Source organism: Homo sapiens, chromosome 4 (assembly GCF_000001405.40).
Source record: "Homo sapiens chromosome 4, GRCh38.p14 Primary Assembly".
NCBI classification, from domain to species: domain Eukaryota; kingdom Metazoa; phylum Chordata; class Mammalia; order Primates; family Hominidae; genus Homo; species Homo sapiens.
In genome coordinates, this window is record NC_000004.12 from 173,461,315 (window position 1) to 173,482,326 (window position 21,012).

General features: G+C 37.9%; 1 protein-coding gene and 1 long non-coding RNA gene across 3 annotated transcripts in view; one reads left to right on the top strand and one right to left on the bottom strand.

Moving 5' to 3' along the window:
• SCRG1 (stimulator of chondrogenesis 1) overlaps window positions 1–21,012 on the bottom strand; it is a 134,444-nt gene that overhangs the window by 76,614 nt on the left and 36,818 nt on the right. The window contains exon 2 of one of the 2 annotated variants that reach the window (XM_047449563.1): window positions 4,590–4,659. The gene's annotated coding sequence lies outside the window, so the exon portion shown is untranslated. Of the gene's footprint in view, window positions 1–4,589; window positions 4,664–21,012 lie in introns of both variants that reach the window. The other variant, NM_001329597.2, reaches the window with a different exon arrangement.
• On the top strand, window positions 4,748–20,933 carry LOC112267917 (uncharacterized). The gene is made up of 3 exons (XR_002959833.2): window positions 4,748–16,097; window positions 16,480–16,617; window positions 17,444–20,933. It is a non-coding gene; the product is annotated as an uncharacterized LOC112267917 (long non-coding RNA).

Consider the following 21,012-nt stretch of genomic DNA (forward strand, 5'->3'; position numbering starts at 1 on the left):
CACAGGGGTACTCGTGTTACTCCACCCCCCAGCTTTAGGTGGCTCAGAACAGAGAGACTCTGTATGTTTGGGAGTAAGTAAGGGGAAAGAACAAGAGTCTCTGCCTGGTAATCCAGATAATTCTCCTGGATCTTGTCCAAGACTATCAAGGCAGTATCTCTACGAGACTGCAAGAACCACAGCATTACTGCGCTTGGGGTGCCCCTTAAAGCAAAAGCAGTTTAGATCACAACACCCAAGTCCTTTCAAATATCTGGAAAGCCTTGCTACGAAAGACAGCTATAAATAAGCTCAGATAGTAAAGACTACAATAAATACCTAACCCTTCAATGCCCAGACACCAAAGAACATCTTCTAGCATCAACACCATCCAAGAAAATGTGACCTCACCAAATGATCTAAATAAGGTACCAGGGACCGATCCTGGAGAAACAGAGATACGTGACCTTTCAGACAGAGAATTCAAATTAGCTGTGTTGAGAAAACACAAAGAAATTCAAGATAACACCAAAGGAATTCAGAATTCTATCAGCTAAATTGAAGAAAGACATTGAAATAATTAAAAAAAAAGAATCAAGCAGAAATTCTGGAGCCAAAAAATGCAATTGGCATACCGAGGAATGTATCAAACCCCTTTAATAGCAGAAGAAAGAATTAGTGGGCTTGAAGACAACATATTTGAAAATACACAGTCAGAGGAGAAAAAAGATCCTGCAGGATCTATATAGAAAATAGCCTCAAAATAGCTTTAAAATAGCCTTAAAAGGGCAAATCTGTAATTGGCCTTAAAGAGGAGGTAGAGAAAGAGATGAGGTAGAAAGTTTATTCAAACGGATAATAGAAAACTTCCCGAACCTATAGAAATATATCAATATCCAAGTACAACAAGGTTATAGAACACCAAGTAGATTTAACCCAAAGAAGACTACCTCAAGGCATTTAATAGTCAAACTCCCAAAGGTCAAGGATAAAGAAAGGATCCTAAAAGCAGCAAAAGAAAAGAAACAAATAACAAACAATGGAGCTCCGATACTTCTGGCAGCAGACTTTTCAGTGGAGACCTTACAAGCCAGGAGAGAGCAGCATGGCATATTTAAAGTGCTGAAGAAAAAAACCCTCTTGCCCTAAAATAGTATATCCAGTGAAAATATCCTTCAAACGTGAAGGAGAAATAAAGACTTTCCCAGACAATAGAAGTTGAGGAATTTCATTAATACCAGACCCATCCCACAAGAAATGCTAAAGGGAGTACCTCAATCAGAAAGAAAAGGATATTAATGAGCCATAAATAATCACCTGAAGGTACAACACTGACTGGTAATAGTAAACAGAAAAACACAGAATATTATAACACTGTAACTGTGGTGTGTAAGCTACTCTTATCTTAAGTAGAAAGACTAAAAGATGAACCAATCAAAAATAATAACTACAACAACTTTTCAAGACATAGTACAATAAGATATAAATAGAAACAACAAAAAGTTAAAAAGTGAGAGATGAAATTAAGGCAAGTTTTTATTAGTTTTCTTTTTGCTTGTTTGTTTATGCAAAGTGTTAAGTTGTTATCAGGGTAAAATAATGGGTTATAATATAGTATTTTCAGGCCTCATGGTAACCTCAAACCAAAAAACATACAACGGACACACAAAAATTAAAAAGCAAGAAACTAAATCATATCACCACAGAAAATCATCTCCACTAGAGGAAGGCAGGAATGAAAGAAAGAAAGAAGGCCACAAAACAACCAGAAAACAACTAACAAAATGGCAGGAGTAAGTCCCTACTTATCAATAATGACATTGAATGTAAATGGACTAATTTGCCCTTTGCCTTGACAGGCTCTACACTGCCCTGTGGAAGAGCTGCCTTGGGTGTAGGAATAAGGTTGAAGACCCTTCCTGGATTCTGAGAATTACCACAAACTTGCATTCCTGGAATACAGGTTTTTGTTTTTATTATTTATTTATTTATTTTTTCGAGAAGAAATCTCACTCTGTTGCCCAGGCTGGAGTGCAGTGCCGTGATCTCGGCTCACTGCAACCTCTGCCCCCCCGGGTTTAAGTGATTCTCCTGCCTCAGTCTCCTGAGTAGCTGGGACCACAGGCACACGCCACCATGCCCAGTTAAATTTTGTATTTTCAGTAGAGGCCCACCTCACTATGTTGGCCAGGCCGGTCTCGAACTCCTGACCTCGAGTGATCTGCCCACCTTGGTTTTTAATAGTTCTGTCTGGTATCTGTAATCAGAATGGGTTCTCTCCAAAGAAAGGCTGTACCATTGAGGGAAGGAACCTGAACTGAGAAGCAGTAGACAGGAATTCTTATTCTTTATCTGGTGGTCATTAGCTCCAAATAAACTCTTTAACCTATCTTGGTCATTTTCCTCTGTGACCCCTAAGTTCTGATATTTTGTGATTTTGTGTTTATACCAGTGAAACCTTTGTGGTTATAGACTGTATGAAATACCAGTGACAATGAACACTGAGAATCCTGGAAGGTTGGGGAGAAGGAGCTGAGTGGGTGGGGCTCATATACTAATGGGTAACATGGGGCTGGCGTTCTATCCAGTGGATCAATCAAAAAGCAAAGGAACTGAGCTGGTGGCATAACAGGCAGCTGAGCCAAGATTCAACGGACAATGGGGGGAGAATGCCAATTCAAGCAGCAGTCAAGCAATATTTATGACTAGATTTTCAAACTGTTAAAAGAGTCTGTGGTCAAGTAAGTTGACCAGTGTTTACAATCTTCTATTTCAGTGGAAGGGTGGGGATTGTTGGAGAATGGGGCTTCTAAAAGATATTATTAGCATCTCACTACTTGACAGCATCTGAACACATGAGTAAAGTAGAATATTGAAATTACCTAAATAATGAAATAAAAATCACTTTTATTTCAACCAGCTCAATATTTTATGAAAAATTTCTAGAGATATCCCAGTTCACTTTTTAACATTACCTCTAAACCCAAAAAATAAAATGAACTTTAATAAACACAGAGTCACAGGTCATGGCTGTCCATAAAACAGGACTAGAACGTGTTTATTCAGGGTTTTCAGGAAGTTTAGTTGATGGATTCAGTTGGAAGCACCACTAATTGTACCTTCTCAATTAACAAAATAACCACCAAATTAACCAAACATTGTGGTTGTAAAGAAACACTATCAGAATAGTACCCTTATATTGTCTTAAGTATCATTTTCAAAATGTTAAAAGTATATAGGTGGGTGTGCACCTCTTAGGATGGTTCTTATAAAACAACAACAACTACCAAAAAATAACAAGTGTTGCTGAGGATATGGAGAAATTGGAAATCTCATGCTTTGCTGGTGGGCCTGTAAAGTGGCACAGCTGCTGTGAAAGACAGTTTGGCAGTTTCTCAAAAAGTTAAACTTGAAACCGCTAAATAACTCAGCAGTTCTATTCCTGGGTATATACACAAAAGAATTTAAAGGAGAGACTTGAACAGAGATTTGTACATCCATGTTCATCGCAGCATCATTCACCATAGCCAAAAGGTAGAAACAACCCAAATGTCCATCATGGATGAATGGATAAACAAAACATGGTATGTACATGCAATGGGACATTGTTTAGCCTTACATAGGAAGGAAATTCTGACACATACTACAATATGGAAAAATCCTGAAGACATTATGTTAAGTGAAATAATCCAGTAATAAAATGAAAACATTGTACAATTCCACTTATATCAAGTACCTAGTATAGTCAAATTCACAGTGACAGAAAGTAGAATGGTGGTTACCAGCTGCTGATAGAAGAGAGGAATGGGAAGTTATTCTGAAATGGGTACAAACTTTCTGTTTGGTAAGGTGAAAACACTGGAAATAGATAGTGGTGATGGTTGTACAACAATATGAGTGGACTTAATGCCACTGAATGACACACTTAAAAATAGTGAAAATGGTAAATGTTATGAATATTAAACCACAATTTATTTGTGTATGTGCGTGTGCATGCATAGACAACACACACAAAATCCTGACCTTCCCTTTTTTCCAGATGTTTTCAGCAGATTTATTCATAATGGCCAAAAAAATGGAAACTGAATGTCCATTAACAGGGCAACTGATAAATAAATTGTAGTATACAATGAATATTAATATGGTAGGCAGAATTTTAAGATGACCTTCAAGGTTCCCAACCATTGATATACATGCCCTGAATAGTCCCCTCACCTTGAGTGTGGGCAGGATGTGAGGAAGTAATGGGATGTCCCTCCTGTGATATCATTCCTATAATTAAGTTGTGTTATTTGGCCTAGGTGAGGGGATTTTTTTTATTGAGGTAATTATATACCTACATATATATATTTTTTGTATATATACATATTATATACATACATATATAGATTTTATATATAGATAAAATTTACCATCTTTACCATTTCTAAGTGTACAGTTCAATGGTAATAAATAAATTTATATTCTTTTTTCTCCTTCCTCCCTCCGCTTCCCCCTTCTTGGCCTCTGGTAACTACCAATCTATTCTCTGTCTTCATGAGATCCACTTTTTTCACTTCCACATATGAATGAGGACATGCAATATTTGTCTTTCTGTGCTTCGACCTTACCTTTGTGCACATCGGGCAAGTGGTTCGTCTTCCCAGGTATGAAGGGAGTGTCATTTCCTTTTCTCCAAAACTTCCTTTCAAACAGAGAGGATAATTACCAGCAATAAAGGATACTTGGCACAAATTTGGAACCAAATCCCCTTCCCCTTGGTTTAAAGACCATTTGTGTACAAAATGGCCAGTCTGAAGTTGGGGATACAGGTTAAAAAGAAGAAGAAGAAAAATCCTGTGCAACTTCAGAGAGCTTACACTCGTGGCCAAATGGAACAAGTTTCTTTTTTATTTGGTACATAAATTTGTCCTAAGCAATGCACTCAAAGGGAAAATTCCCAAACAGCAGTGCTGGGTCTACAGTCATTTGTCAAATTAATCATGATATATTTTCTTGCCTTGAATAGTGTCGGCTGGAATATGTTACATTCCATTCTAGGAAGGGAATCCAAGTGAAGAATTCCTAACCAACAATTTTTCAGTCTACAGAAAGAGTGAGAGTCCAAGTCCTTTCATTACTGTTCACAACACTTTTTCCATGGTCTTTCAGTTGGGAAGATACAGTCAAATGGCAGAATTAGGATTGAAACCTCATACAGAGTTATGAAACCAACACAGTGTTAGTGTTAAGGGAGACCAGGATTCCAATTAGAGGCAATGCTGGGTTTGGTACAAGATAACCACTTAGGGAAAATGGAAAAATAATGTCAGGCCTGATAAATATCTGACAAAAACTTAAAGAAAGAGTCCAAATGCTTAACTCAGTCTTTTTTCTGATACTGCATCTGAAGTATGTGGATCATCTGATAATGACATTTCAGCATTCAGCCATATAATAGTTGACAAAGTAATGTACTTCACACTGAAAGCTGTAAAACTATAGTGAATTATAAAATTAGATATCAATTTGAATACTACACAATTTTTAAAATGTAAAATTTTGTAATACGGAAATGTTATGTTCATTTACTTCATTTGAAGTATGTCAATATTCTATTTGACTCAGCAAACATAATCTAGTCACCTTGCTCATGAGTGTCCACAGGAAAAAAATAAATTTGGCTATCAACTAATTTCTCTAGTTTCTGAATGTTATTAGTTATGAGTTTTTTCTCCTCCTCTTCCAAATTTGGACCTAATATTAGGACAAGGGACATATATATCTCTACATAAAAAGCAGAGGGCTGGAAATTTTCTGATCATCTGGATTTTAAAAAACATTCCCCATGGAATGTACAACCAATTGAAGCAATATTTTTAAAGAAAATACATTTTTCTTAATGTATCATGTTAATTCCCTCTATTCTTGTCTTGTTTGAATGTGAGTAAGCAGTCCATTGGAAAAAAAAAGATATTTTCCTGTTGTAGTAAAGAATCATATCATCTAGCTTTTTGGGATTGGTGTAGAATCCAGACATCCTTTATACTATGTAATATGATGACTAGAATTTAACCTAAGTGATTAGCCAATGCACTAGATTAAAAGTGAATGAATCCACTCAAGAGACAGGCAAGCACACAGGCAAAGCAGTCATCCTTAGCATCTAACTCTTACCTTTTAGGTTCATGTGAGCATGGGGAGAGTAGACAAGACTGAACATGAGGACAAAAATTGCTAGTCACCTGAGGCCAGATTTTTGTCTTGGATTGTTTTGGGAGAACTTTGCCAACAACTTAGAAAAAAATGATTAACTTGGACATTCACCTATAATTCTTAGAACCCCTCCCGCTGGTGCAAAATATTAGCATAGGACACTCTTGTTAAAATGGTCCTTTGAGGTTTAGTATCTCTAGGCTAACTGAATCTGCCTCAATCTCATTTCATCTGAATTATAAAAGCCACATGTGTTCTGATGTCCCAATTATGTTGTCACATAGAGTCATGCAAGCTAGCAAGCTTTGGGATTAGTAGAGGAGAACATTTTGAAATAATCTAAAAAAACAAACAAACCATGCTTTTTAATTACAAGAGGATGGGGAATGAGATTTTCCCCAAGTGGAAATTGCACCCAAATGGAAGGAAGGCTTTACAAAAACAGAATTATTGAAAAATATCAGTAAAATAATGTCTAGGTGTTAAGTCAAATAGTGACTCCGTATATATTTTAGCCCAATTAAGCCCATAAAAGTTGCCAATTTATCCATTCATTGATGAAAACCTTTGCTGAATGTTCACTATATACGAAGCATATACAGTCATGTGCCACATAACAATGTTTCCATCAACGATGGACCACATATACAACGGTGGTCCCATAAGATTATACTGCTGTATTTTTACTGTATCTTTTCTATGTTTAGATATGTTTAGATACACAAATAGTTACCACTGTGTAACAATTGCTACAGTACTCAGTGCAGTAACATGCTGTCCAGGTTTGTAGCCTAGGAGCTACAGGCTATACTATATAGCCTAGGTATATTGTAGCCTAGGCTACACTATATGGCCTTGGTGGTACAGTGAACTATACCACCCTAGGTTTGTGTAAGTACACTCTGTGATCACACAATAACAAAATAGCCTAATGACAGATTTCTTGGAACATATTCCAGTTGTTAAGTGACACATGGCTCTAGATAAGTATTGAATAACACCCATGTGTAAGGGAAATGAAGAAAGAGCACCCTCTGGCCCTTTGAGGAGTGTCATTCTCAGAGATGACCCACATCAGACATGGATGGCTGCCTGTACCAGGCTAGGCTCTCTACCCTATTTTCTCACAAGGAGGAGAGTGATTTAGAATGTCCTGGAAGTATTTCATTGTTCTATCATGTTTGCAATTGATCAGCATTAGAAAGAAATTTTGCACCATGGAGAGTCAAGCATACTAATGACACAATGTGTACTTATAAGTAAACTCATCCCTACTTTGAAACCCATCAATGAAAGCAAACTTTTGGCCCCTGGGAGACACAGTGACATTACAGTTTGAAAACCTATTCCAACAAAGACCATCAAATCAAGGACTGAGTCTTATCCACCTTTGTACTTGCGGCACCGTGCTTTGCTCAGAGTAAGTGCTCAGAAAGTCTTGTTTTATCTAGAGTGAAAGAGGTAGGCTTCTGCACAGCGACATACATAGTATGCTCAAAAGTAGCCTGAGTAGAGGCTCTGAAGTGTCCCCAGTGCAGTGATCCAAGTAACTTAAGGTTAATTTTGCCACCCTGTGTAAACACAGACTGCCTGAGGCCTCTTCATTTCATTTAGTTTGAAAGTCACACAAGACAGGGTTCAGAATTTAAAAATTGGATACTCTCTTGGATATTGGTGATGGGCCATGAAAAATAAATTAGTTCCTTTAAGGAGTATTTTTAAAACTCAGGAATTGCTTAGAGAAAAAAGAGGGGCAAAGCAATTTTTCCCAATAAATTTTTCTGTAATCAATTAAATCTTTTTAGGATTTGGATAATATAACAGACTCAGAATTTTGTCATAAAAAATAAAATTGCCAAGATAATAATATAAAATAAATGTAGAATATTTAATTTTTATGAATTTTCTTTTTAATAAAAAATTGACAAATTATCCCTCAACAATCTTCCAACTGTTTAATGTATTAAAATGATATATGCTATTTAAAAATTATTAGGCATTCATTAAATTGGCAAGATTTTAGATTTCATGTATTCAAGATTTTGCTTTGGTAAGAAGCAAATTCTATAAACTCCCTATTGGAAACACGTATTTTGGGAATTAGATATTTTTCAATGTGAGCTGCTGTTTTCTTCTAACTGCAGGGAAAATGCTGTCTAAAAGAAAATAATAAATTTGTATCTGCTGAGTTCTCTTAGCATAAGGCACCAACAAAACAAGCTTCAGGAAGGGAGAAGAAACCATCCTCCCACTCATCCTTCAGAGGATTTAGATAAAGTGAAGGGAAGAATCGTTCTCCAGCTCCTTCGGAATTTACGCCGGCATCAGGGCAGGCTTGTTACTGCTGGATCCATTGTCTGCTCAAGGTTACTTATTCCACTAAGACGTACATCCTACCACGGACCACGGCTTTGTAGCTAGCCAGGCTCTGAGTGTGTGTGTAGATGAACCATTTCTCTCTCCAGTAAATGAATGACAGTCTTTCTAGGGCTCTTGTCTTCTGCTGGGAGGCAGAGCATCTCTAGCCCAGGAAGAATGCCCAGACAGAGTCAGGGGGAATGGGGACACGAGATAGAGTTCATATTTGTGATCTGTCCCCTTCGTTTCTCTTTTTTCTCTCTCTCCCTCTTTCTTTTTTTTTTTTTTTTTTTTTTGCATGGGTGGTGGTCGGGATGTGTTGTTTTTGTTGTTGTTGTTGTTTAAGATATCATTGGTAAGCATCTCAATATGTGTTTACCAGATAGTATAAACTATTATAAGAACAGAAGATAACAAGACTTTTAATTGGTACAGAAACCTATATTGGGCATCTATTTTGTGCAACCCACCATGCAGGTCATATGAGAGATGCAAGACAATGAGACATAATCCCTCCTTTGTGGAGCTTACAGTCTAAGTGACTGAGACCGGCTCACAGGTAACTGAGTGTTTCAGTCATACTGACGTGTCAGGCAGTCTTTGGTTGCTGAGTACATGGTTATAAAGACTGTGAAGAAACAAATTACCATTCCACCAAAGCAAATCAAATAACGAAGACCCAAATTGGATCACTTCTCATTTTCTATTTTTAAATGTACTTCATAAAGACATTTACTTACTAAAATCAGTTTTTGTCTTATACAACATTAAAGTAACCATATGACCCTTTTAATATAGTTCAAGGAAATTATCTGAATTAAGTAACTTGATTTGTTATTTTTCACCATTGTGGGAATTTTTAGAAGCACCATCATTCTAACTAATAGCCATAAAATACAAGTTTATTTAATAGTTTCTTCAAGTTACATATGTTCGTAGTTTAGTGACAAAAGGTAAATAAAATTAATAAACTTCATAAAAATCAGTGGACTCTGGAAAACATTTTAAAAATTCCTCTGTGAGCAACAGACTTTCAACACATTTTCCCCCAAAGATCAAAGGGCATGAATTAAAATGAAATAAGGAAAGTCTGCTAATTTTTAACCTTTAAAGATTAAGTATTTAGGAAGAGATAGAAACTGAAAATGCCATATGCTTTTTGAAAATTAAAAGAAACATGGAAACCCTGTTCACATGATAAAATTATGACTGTGCACAAAGAATTTTTAGAAGTCATTACTCCTGGATACTAAGATTAGAAATACTTATATACTAAGTAGAGTCATAGTCAGAAAAAAGAAACCATCTGATTGATTTATGAGAATCAATTCAAATAGTCCTTTGAAGTATTAGAATCATTCTGTATAATGGCAAGCACATGGTAGGGTAGTTTCCTAATAAATACTGGGTACAGTTGGGAGAAAACAATGCAGTTTTGGACTAGAGAACCAAAACCTTCTGGAATTTTCTAGGCTTTTTGATTATGGCCAAGCCGCCACTGGGCCTGACCGCTGGCATTATTGGTATCCTAACTTTGGCTTTTTATTAAATAAAAATAAGAAATATTTCTACAAAGGATCACCCCATCCTGGAGGCAGCTCATAGTACAGAAATTGGAATAATCTTGTCTTAAGTTTCTACCAACCTCGTCCATCCTGCTACACACACCATTTTATACTCCAATGAGTATTTAATTCAACAAAAAATAAAAATTAAAAAATGGCCATTTCAGAGTGAAAAAAAAAATGTTCAGGCAAACCAGTTTTTGGATTGACTTGCCTGGTAAGTATTGGCAAATGGTCACTCTGGTAGCCTATGTGCATACCCATCCCAGGAGAGGCTATTAAGTCCTGAAGGGTGGAAGATGGAAAATGAGTTTTGTTTTGCTTTTTTGCTCTTGTTGCCCAGGCTGGAGTGCAATGGCGCGATCTCAGCTCACCGCAACCTCCGCCTCCTGGGTTCAAGCGATTCTCCTGCCTCAACCTCCCGAGTAGCTGGGATTATAGGCATGCCCCACCACGCCCAGCTAATTTTGTATTTTTAGTAGAGATAGAGTTTCTCCATGTTGGTCAGGCTGGTCTCGAGCTCCTGACCTCAGGTGATCTGCCCACCTTGGTCTCCCAAAGTGCTGGGATTACAGGCGTGAGCCACCGTGCCCGGCTGGAAAATGAGTTTTGAAAGCAAGAACCATACTGACTTCTTAACACTTGGGTGCCTTCTTTTTCTTACCATTTCTTCCTTAATTGAGGCACAAATCTTTTAGCTGTTATGCAGTGAATATATCATGGAAGAATTTTTCTTTTAAAAAGGAAAACAAAGAAAAATAAAATTCAATGTCTAAAATATGGCCATGGAGTAAACTAATAATATGCAAGGTGTGTTTACATGTAGTCTACCTTTATCATTTATGATTTTCTTTACCAGTTTTATCTCCAGTATATAACTTTACAAGCATTATTTTTACGTGAAGCTGTGATACTTCGTGGATGAACTTGACAAAATTAGATTTTCTTTTGCCAAGTGTATTAGGGTTCTCCAGAGAGACAGAACTAATAAAGTATAGGAAGGGATTTATCATAAGAAATTTGCTCATGTGATTGTGGAGTCTGAGAAGTCCCCAGATCTGCAGTCAGAAAGCTGGAGACCTGGGAGAGCTGATGGTGTAGTTGTAGTCTGAGTCCAAAGGCCTGGGAACCAGAAGAGCCAATGATACAGTTCCAGTCTAAAAGCTGGCTGACCCAAGGCTCAAGAAGAGCTGATGTTTTAGTGTGAGTCTAAAGGCAGGAAAATCCGATGTCCCAGCTCAAAGGCAGACAGGCAGGAGGAATTACCTCTTACTTGAGGGAGGTTTGGGTCTTTTATTCTAGCCAATTGATTGGATGAAGTGCACCCACATTAGGCAGGGAAATCTTTTTTGCTGAGAATGTTAATCTCACCCAAAAACACACTCACAGACACACCCAGGGTAATGTTTGACCAAATGACTGGGCACCCTGTGGGGCAGTCAAGTTGACACAGAATTACCCAACACAGCAGGTGAGATTCAATCACATGATTCAGTAATTTTAATAATTATATGATTAAATGCTAATAAATTTACATGCAAAGAATTTTGCCTATATTATAAGCTCAAGTATTTGGCCATAGAACATTTAAAGACATGCTTAGCCAATTTAAGGAAAAATTAGTTAGCCATTGCAACATTATCTTCAAAGCTATTGTTGGAATAAAAACTATCCTAAAAAAGTAGCCCCCACTTAATGTGTTGATTAATTCATCTATCTAGCCATGAATGTGTTCCACAAACTTTAGTTGAGTATCTACTATATGCTAGGCACTGTGCCAGGCATATGGCACACAGATACCAAAGAAAATAAACCTGGTTTCTGCCAGCTAGGAACTCTGTCTGGCAAGGTGGGACAGCCAAATAAATAAATTAGGAGGAAAGTGTTAATGGTAGGCTGGCCTGACCACACATCGTATTAGCCTAGAGCAGTCCTCTTTTCTATCTCTTTTCTCAATCTACGAATAGCTCTCTATCATTTGCAAACATACCCTAAGTTGGGCAATAAATTTTGCAGCCACCTGGGTGTAGGCGATGTGAGAGAAGTTTCTCTAAGATACAGTAGGAGTGCCCATGGAGGGAACAGATGATCTAGCTGTTGGAGGGTGGGAGAAGGAGAGCCCTCAATCCTGGGATTAATCCTGAAAAATGAGAGTGGTGTTTAAGATGCAGAGAGAAAAGGAAAGGAGCTTTGTGAAAGAAGGGAACTCTGTGCATAAGGAAAAAGAGGCAGGGCTCAGTCGTAGGTGCAGGACAATTGTAAATATGCAGATCTGGCTAGGGCAGTGGGGTCTGAGGGGCTTGGGAGGCAATAAGGCCGTGGGGGGTTGCAGCCACCACATCCCAGAGGCCTCACTCTGTTGTGCTAAAGAGCTTGAATACATCCCGATGGCGGTTATATGACACAGTGGCAGTCATGGCAGATAATGGTTTGGTTAGATTTGTGATTTAGAACAACAAACACATCTGGTAAAAGTTGACTTCCTGGGCCGGACATGGTGGCTCACGCCTGTAATCCCAGCATTTTGGGAGGCTGAGGTTGGTGGATGACCTGAGGTCAGGAGTTTGAGACCAGGCTGGCCAACATGGTGAAACCCCATCTCTACTAAAAATACAAAACTTAGCCAGGTGTGGTGGTGCTTGTCTGTAATCCCGGCTACTCAGGAGGCTGAGGCAAGGGAATCCAGGAGGCAGAGGTTGCAGTGAGCCAAGATCATGCCACTGCACTCCAGCCTGGGTGACATAGCGAGTTTCCATCTCAAGAAAAAAAAAAGTTTAAAATTCAATTATTACATATTTTATCTTAGACTATTGACTAACTTCACATTCGTGCAATACAGAAATGGGGGAGGTAGCATAATAGCCAATTTTTCCAATTGATGGGAATACATCCTTTGCTTTTGTATATTTTTGTGAGAAAATTATTTCAATTTAAGCATTATGTAATTAGTGACCACTTTTCAGGAATTGAACCACTCTGTAAATCCAGATTTGTGGATGGGGAGACAGAACATCAGAAAGTTATGAAAATAAAACTTGAAAAGGTAATATAAAATTTAAATGAAGTGGGAAAAAGAGTCAGAAATTCTTTACACTTTCAGAAATTTGATTCCTTCAAATTATATGTGAGTTTTTGTGATTATTTACTGATCACTGCCTACAATTACACTGTTTTTAAGGGATGACACTTGGCAACCATTTAACTGAACTTCACTTTCCCATTGGAGGTGTCGGATGTCATGAGAAGTTAAGAGACTAGGCAAGTCATAGTCAGAGACATCCCTAGACCAGTGTAACATTTCCCAGGAAAGACACAAGAGTTGTATTTATCATTACATTCATTTCCTTAATATAGCTCATATCCTTTTTTGAAGGATATGTTGTAAGCCTGAGGTCCTTTTAGAAAATCTCAATTTGTCTGACAAGAAAATAAAGATCACAAAAACCCTTAGTTTCTCAACAAGAAAGTAAATAAGATGAAAAATCCTTGTGTGGTGAGTTAATATTTTGAAATCTCTCTCTCTCTTTTCCTCTGTATTCTCTCTCACCCCCTCATGTCTCCTCCATTCAATTAAACTAGTAAATAAGATGAAAAATCCATGTGTGGTGAGTTAATATTTTGAAATCTCTCTCTCTTTTCCTCTGTATTCTCTCTCTCCCCTTCATGTCTCATCCATTCAATTAAACTATATCATCTTCTGCTTATTGAACCAAGAAAGGAATGTGACAGAAAGAGAAAAAAAAGAGCCTCTACTAGGATTTTGAGTTTACAGAGACAAGGCCTTGGGGAAGCAGCAAGGATTCATGGCATAGACCAGGGGTTCTAACCAGGCAGCTTGTTTCCACCCCTTAGGGGACATTTGGAATTGTGTTGTGTGGGATTGGGGAGATGTTTGTCACAATAACTGGGAAATATCCCATTATCTACAAGTAGTAGATGGGGCCAAGGATGCTAAACATTCTGCAAGGAGTGGACAGTCCTACATACCAAAGAAGGGCTGACCCCAAGTGTCAAGAGCACCCCTGTTAAAACTTACTGGAAGGCAAAGATATAGAAAAATTGGAACCCTTGTACATTGCTGGTGGGAATGTAAATGGTGCAGCACTGTGAAAAAGAGTTTAGCAATTAAACAGAGAATTACCATATGATCCAGCAATTCCCCTTTTGGGTATAATCCTTTTGCATCCAAAAGGATTAAAAGCAGAGATTTAAGCAGATATCTATACACCAATGTTCATGGCAGCATCATTCACAATAGTCAAAAAAGGTGGAAACAAGCCAAGTATCAATCATTGGATGAAAGGATAAAGAAAACATGGTGTATACATACAACAGAATATTATTCAGACTTAAATAGGAAGGAAATCTGACATGTGCTTCAACAAGATAAATTTTGAAGATAGTATGTTAGTGAAATAAGCCAGTAATAAAAAGACAAATATGTAACTCCACTTATAGGAATAGAAAGTATCTAGAATAGTCAAATTCATAGAGACAGAAAGTAGAAGAGTGGTTGCCAGGGCCTGAGGCAGTTAGTGATGAATGGATATAGAGTTTCAGTTTGGAAAGATGAAAAAATTCTGGAAGCAGAAGGTGGTGATGGTTGCATAACAATGTGAATGTACTTAATGCCATGAACTATATACATTTTAAAATGGTTAAAATGGTAAATTTTATATTATATATATTTTATCACAGTTTAAAAATAAAAAATGCCACTCACTCAAGGAGAGGAGCTGACGTTGAAAGCAATTCTGTTTTGCCCTTGGTACCAAAATTGAAGAAGGCTGGGGGAAGAAGCATGGTGGGCAAGCATGAGAGGCAGATAGTGTGGGCTCCTGGGCAAGGGCCTGCACCCTGCTCTTGGGGAATGGGCAGAAACCTTGACAGATTTAAGACAAAGGAAACTTGGACCTCATTTCCTAGGTAAATCTCTGAGGGGGAAAAAAAAAATATATATATATATATAATGAATTGAAGGGTAGGCAGATGGAAATAAAGGCCTCATAAGGATTGAATTTGTGACCACAGACAACCCAGGTTGATTCGCAAGTCAGTGTGCACTGAGTAGAGACAACCTACAGAACCACACGAGCCCACCCAATGCCTTGGTTCTGTGTGAGCCACCCCAGAATTCACAGGTAACAGCATATGGACAGGGAAAGTTCCTGAACTGGCTGCATAAGGGCTTGAAATAGAATTTTAATTGCATCATAAAGTTAAATTTCTTGCATACTGAATCTCCAGCCTGATATAAGAAGCCATCACAGCTGGGCATGGTGGCCTGTAGTCCTAGTTACTCAGGAGGCTGAGATAGGAGGATCACTTGAGCCAATGAGGTTGAGGCTGCAGTGAGCTATGATTGCACCACAGCACTCCAGCCTGGGTGACAGGGCAAGATCCCATCTCTAAAAAAGAAAAAAATAATAAAAAATTAAAAAGAAGCCAGTATTACATTCCTTTCAGCTCTAAGCTACCCTAATGCTTGGAGCCTTCATAGTAACATTCCATGGTAATTTTTTCACATGTATGAGATTTTCCATCATAAGTGACTACAATTAGCATATCTGGGTGATGTGTATGTGTTGGTTCCTTGTTTTACCTGGAACAGAAGGAAGGAATTGGCTGCCAGATATTTGAAAATTTGTTGTTGGAAATGGCAGCACTGCATGTAAGAGGAGCTTTTTCAAATGAATCAGTAGATAAAAGGTGGAAGCTTGGCTCTTCCAGCCAAGCTCCCTTCAACAAGAGGAATGAAAATTGTAGTTCAATGCCTGCTGCTCACTTATCTCGTGTCTCATATCTTACTGCAACTTCCAGAATGAAAAGACCCTGCCACAATGAGGGGCTGAGTAATTAATTGCCTGAAACACATGGGTAGTCTGAAATTTGAGATTCTTATAAAGGTGTGACTCACAGCTTTCTTAGAAAAAGAGAACAAATATCCATTGCACCAGGAACAGGGAAATTTCCCTCCCATCTTCTTCTCTTTCCTATTAGGTAAGTGCTTTTTATTCGGTCATTCCCAAAATGTTTTGGGGTTGGGGGTGCATCGATTTAGCACACACCCTATGGAGAGCTGGGATACTCTCCTCTTCCAAGGCAGCACAGCCCATACCCAAGCAGCTTTCAATTGTAGGTGACTATTTTCTATCTGGGAGTGGAGGAAGGAAAGTGGAAAGTTAGTTGAATAAATATAATTAAGCTACTGGTGTGAGATATTTCAGCACAGGGTCTTGTTTTTGTTTTTCTTTAAAGGAATAATGCTAAACCCAGTTGGTTTTCTTTTTTTTCCCTTCCTTCCTTCCTTCCTTCCTTCCTTCCTTCCTTCCTTCCTTCCTTCCTTCCTTCCTTCCTTCTTTCCTTCCTTCCTTCGAGACAGGATCTCATTCTGTAGCCCAGGATGAAGAGCAGTGGCATAATCATAGCCCACTTCAGCTTTGACCTCTCAGTCTCAAGTGATAGTCCCCCCACAGCCTCCTGAGTAGCTGGGACCACAGGCATGCACCACCATACCCAGGTAATTTTTTAATTTTTTGGTAGAAACAGGATCTCATTATGCTGCCCAGGCTAGCCTTGAACTCCTCGCCTCAAGCAATCCTCCCACCTTGGCCTCTCAAAGAGCTGGGATCCAACTGGATTTTGGAGATAAATCCCTGAGGAAAAAAACTGGGCTTGGCTCCCCAGAACACCTGGATTTTAGTATCTGAAAATTAAAGTTAATTGGAAAAACATAATTCCGACTTAATATAGCTTTAACCTGCTGATCTCAATGTACTATGATTACTCCCAGTGTTAATTTTAAGTTTGAAATATAGTCTCATGTAAGAGGTGACTCACATAGAATCTCATCTCTTCATCTTAATAATTCTACTGCAGATAAATGTTCTCTGGGCTATTAAGGCAAATCCTTGTAATCCTGGGAATGTGGTCCTTAGGCAACTAACCTCTTGATGGAAGAAAAAAACAAAAAACAAAAAACAAAAAAAACCAGTCCTGGTCTTCATCACTTTTCTGTACTTTACTAAGCTTGGGTTTGGGTAGTTTCCAGTTTTCTAGTGTCCAGAGAGAATTCATCTGCCTATAAGACTTCTGAATATTCTTATTTTCCTCGCATTTCTGTGTGGACTGTCTCAGTGTTAGCTTTTCCTCTTGCTTGCTCCTGCTCTCTCTCTTCCCTCACACCCCACACCCCTTCACCCTGGGAATTAAAGGCATGTACTCTGCAGTCTCAGTAACACCAGCTTTTAAGTGAGACCACAGTACAAAATAATAAATGAGATTTTAAACAGTGTTTGAAGTGGGTGCGAGCCATGTTGTACATTTCAAGACCAATATTCTTGCAGAAGCCACTGTGGAAGATGACGAAAGGAAAATGAATCACAGATGAGGAAGAAACAAAAACAAATGAAATAAAGAAAACGAACGGACACAGACTTTAGGAATGATGTTTGATTCCTAATTAGGCTTGATATTACCATGTTTGGTTACTGGTGTGTTTTCATTCATGTCTTTTGACCTGCTTAAAAAAGGAAAGAGGTCACTTCAAGGGATCCACATTTCAATTTCAGTGTGTGGCACAATTACTCTATACTAAGAGTCTACTAGCCGTCATTCCCACAGTAAGGCCTGGCTTGTTCGTACACTGGGTGCATCTCTGATCTAATTTTATTATGGATGACAGCATGACATTCATTTCCACCACATTCTACACCGCTCCAATTCTGAACTTGGCATGTAATAGCCATAAAATAACATGAGTAAAGAAGGGGACTCCTGCACAGAACTCTGGAAACCAATGCCCAATTTACGAGTCCAAGCATGCATGACTACTGTAAACCAGAATGGTACTAAAACCAATAGATATATGAGAAGAAAATGAATAGTTACGTAAAGGTTTATTGTAGACACTGGTTCATTTTCATAATTTTAGGTTGAATATACCCAGCTGATGAAAGCTTTGAAAAACTGAGTATAATTCCTTATTAAAATTAAAAGCACAACCTGTTTTTTTTGTTTGTTTGTTTTTTTGTTTTTTTTTTTTTTTGAGACAGAGTCTTGCTCTGTTGCCTAGGCTGGAGTGCAGTGGCATGATCTAGGATCACTGCAGCCTCTGCCTCCTGGGTTCAAGCGATTCTCCTGCCTCATCCTTCGAAATAGCTGGGATAACAGGCTTGTGTCACCATGCCTGGCTAATTTTTGTATTTTTAGTAGAGACGGGGTTTCACCATGTTACTCAGGCTGGTCTCAAACTCCTGACCTCAGTGATCCACTCGCCTCCGTCTTCGAAATTGCTGGGATTACAGGCGTGAGCCACCATGCCCAGCCGACCTGTTATTTTTGAAAGAAAGCTAACTTTAGGGAACTCAGTATTTGCATGGCACCAAATTATCACCCCAGGATGACTAGCGAATTGACAAAGGGAAAATATATCTTAATAGTAAAGAGAATTGTGGTTGCCATTACCTTAATTTGGGAATCAAACTTGGCATCACTAATAGTGAGAAAACCAGGCTCAATGTGATCCTGATGCCATGCACTATGTTTTTAAAATTTTTATTAAAAATTTTTTTTGTGAGAGAGCCTCTCGGTCTGTCACCCAGGTTGGAGGGCAGTGGCATGATCACAGCTCACTACAGCCTCCAACTCCTGGGCTCAAGCATGATCCTCTCATCTCAGTTTCTTGAGTAGCTGAGACTACAGGTGTGAGCCACCATGCCTGGCTGCTGCCATGCAGTATGAAGGAGATAGCCTCATCTATGAGTATTCTTCAAAATGTGTAACCTGAATCAAGTCAAGACTTTAGGTGTGTAGGCTATACAGAGGATGGAGGAACAAGTTAAGCCACTTTAAAGAAAGAATCAAAAAGTCTAGAACTGGGGCCTTCTATAAGACAGGCTTAGTACAGTACAAAAAAGTGATGAAGACCAGGACTGGTTTTTTTTGTTTGTTTGTTTTGTTTTTTTTTAAGGCCTGGCCTTTTAAAAAAGTCAATAGCATGAGAAAAGGGGAAACAGGGCTGGGCTCTGGATTAAAAAAGATGGACGACATGACAATTGTCACATGTGTTCCTTGATTAGATTCAAAATTGGAAAAAAACTCTACATATACTGAGTTGATCATTATACAATTCTACATGCATTGAAACATCACACTGTACTCCATAAGAATGTGCAATTATTATGTAGCAATTATAAATAAAAATTAATTTTAAAACAGTATGTTCTTAAAAACCCTATAAAACCATGATAATCATTTGAATATGGACTGCGTATTATATGATATTAAGGAATTACTGTGAATTTATTAAGTGGCATATATTGGTATTTGGTTATGTTAAAAAGGTGTCCTCATTTTTTTTTAAATGTATGCTGAAGTACTGGAGGGTGATTGATTTTAAAATGGTCTAGCAACCACAAAAAAACAGATGAAGCAAAGATGGCAAAATAATAACAATTATTAATTAAATGTATTGGGTTATGGGTATGCATTGTATTATTTTTTCTATTTCTCTGCATGTTTGAACATTTTTATGATAAAAAGGTAAGGAAAAAAACCTTAGCTTTTATTAGTTGCTAATGAAAATCAGGTGTTTCAAAACTAATTAGTTTTTCTCTATCCATTTGGACCAGATCACCCTTCCAAATGAGCAAAAAATTTAAAAATAAAATAACATACTGATAATTTTTAAAAATTAAGCACAGGTGCAGCCCTCAAGTGTCAACAACAGCAACAAAATGGCAATAATTTAAACCACATCAATTTCCCTTTAATTATCTTTATCTTATGAGATACAAACAAAAATTTGCAGTGGTAACAGTGTCTGGTGTTTATGTTTAAATCCATATAAATTGGTTACTTGCTGTTCATATCAGTGAATGGTTTAAAGTGAAAACAACCCTGGTAATCACAAATTATCTGTTGTAATCAACTTTTCCACGTGAGTTAATTGAAGCATAGTGAGTACCAATAAGTAAAAAGAAAGCTAGGCTTAGGGAACAGTTCACAATTTATAAATAATTATGCCACTTAGCAAATTAGTAAAGTAATTTACTCCTCACATCTACAAACCCTTGAACAACACAGGTTTGAACTGCGAGGGTCCGCTTATATGTGGATTTTTTTCAGTAAAAGTTACATTAAGTGTGTCTGGCTCTCCTGCCTCCCCCTCCACATCCTCCACCTCTTCCGCCTCTGCCACCCCTGAGACAGCAAGACCAACCCCTCTTCCTGCTCAGCCTACTCAACTTGAAGAGGACACGGATGAAGACCTTTATGATAATCCACTTCCACTTAATGAAAGTTAATATATTTTCTCTTCCTTGTGATTTTCTTATTAAAATTTTCTTTTCTCTAGCTTACTTTACTGTAAGAATACAGTATATAATACATCTAACACAAAATATGTGTTAATCAGCTGTTTATGTTATCAGTAAGGCTTCCAGTCAACAGTAGGCTATTAGTAAAGTGTTTGGGGAGTCGAAAGTTACACTCAGATTTTTGACTGCAAGGGTGTCAGCACCTCTGACCCTTGTGTTGTTCAAGAGTCAACTTTTTTTTTTAATCAGCCTACTTTCCTATCTGGATTTATGTGTAGAGTATATGGATTAAATTAAATATTTATATTTTACTGTATACATTTGACTTACATTATCTTGATTTGGTGGTTGAGTGATCATTATAAAATTGCTGGAATTCATTTCCTGTAAGAATAAAGTAATTAGCAGTTGGGCATAATGGAAATGGCATGGGACTGGGAGTTATAAAACCTGAATGATATAGGCCACACTTATGTGCTTGTGTAACTAAATAAATATCTGTTTGACTTTGGGCAAATCTTTAGTCTTCTTGAGTGTTAATATCCTCATTTAGATATATCCATGGTTAGAATAGGTTAGAGACTCTTAACTTGGGT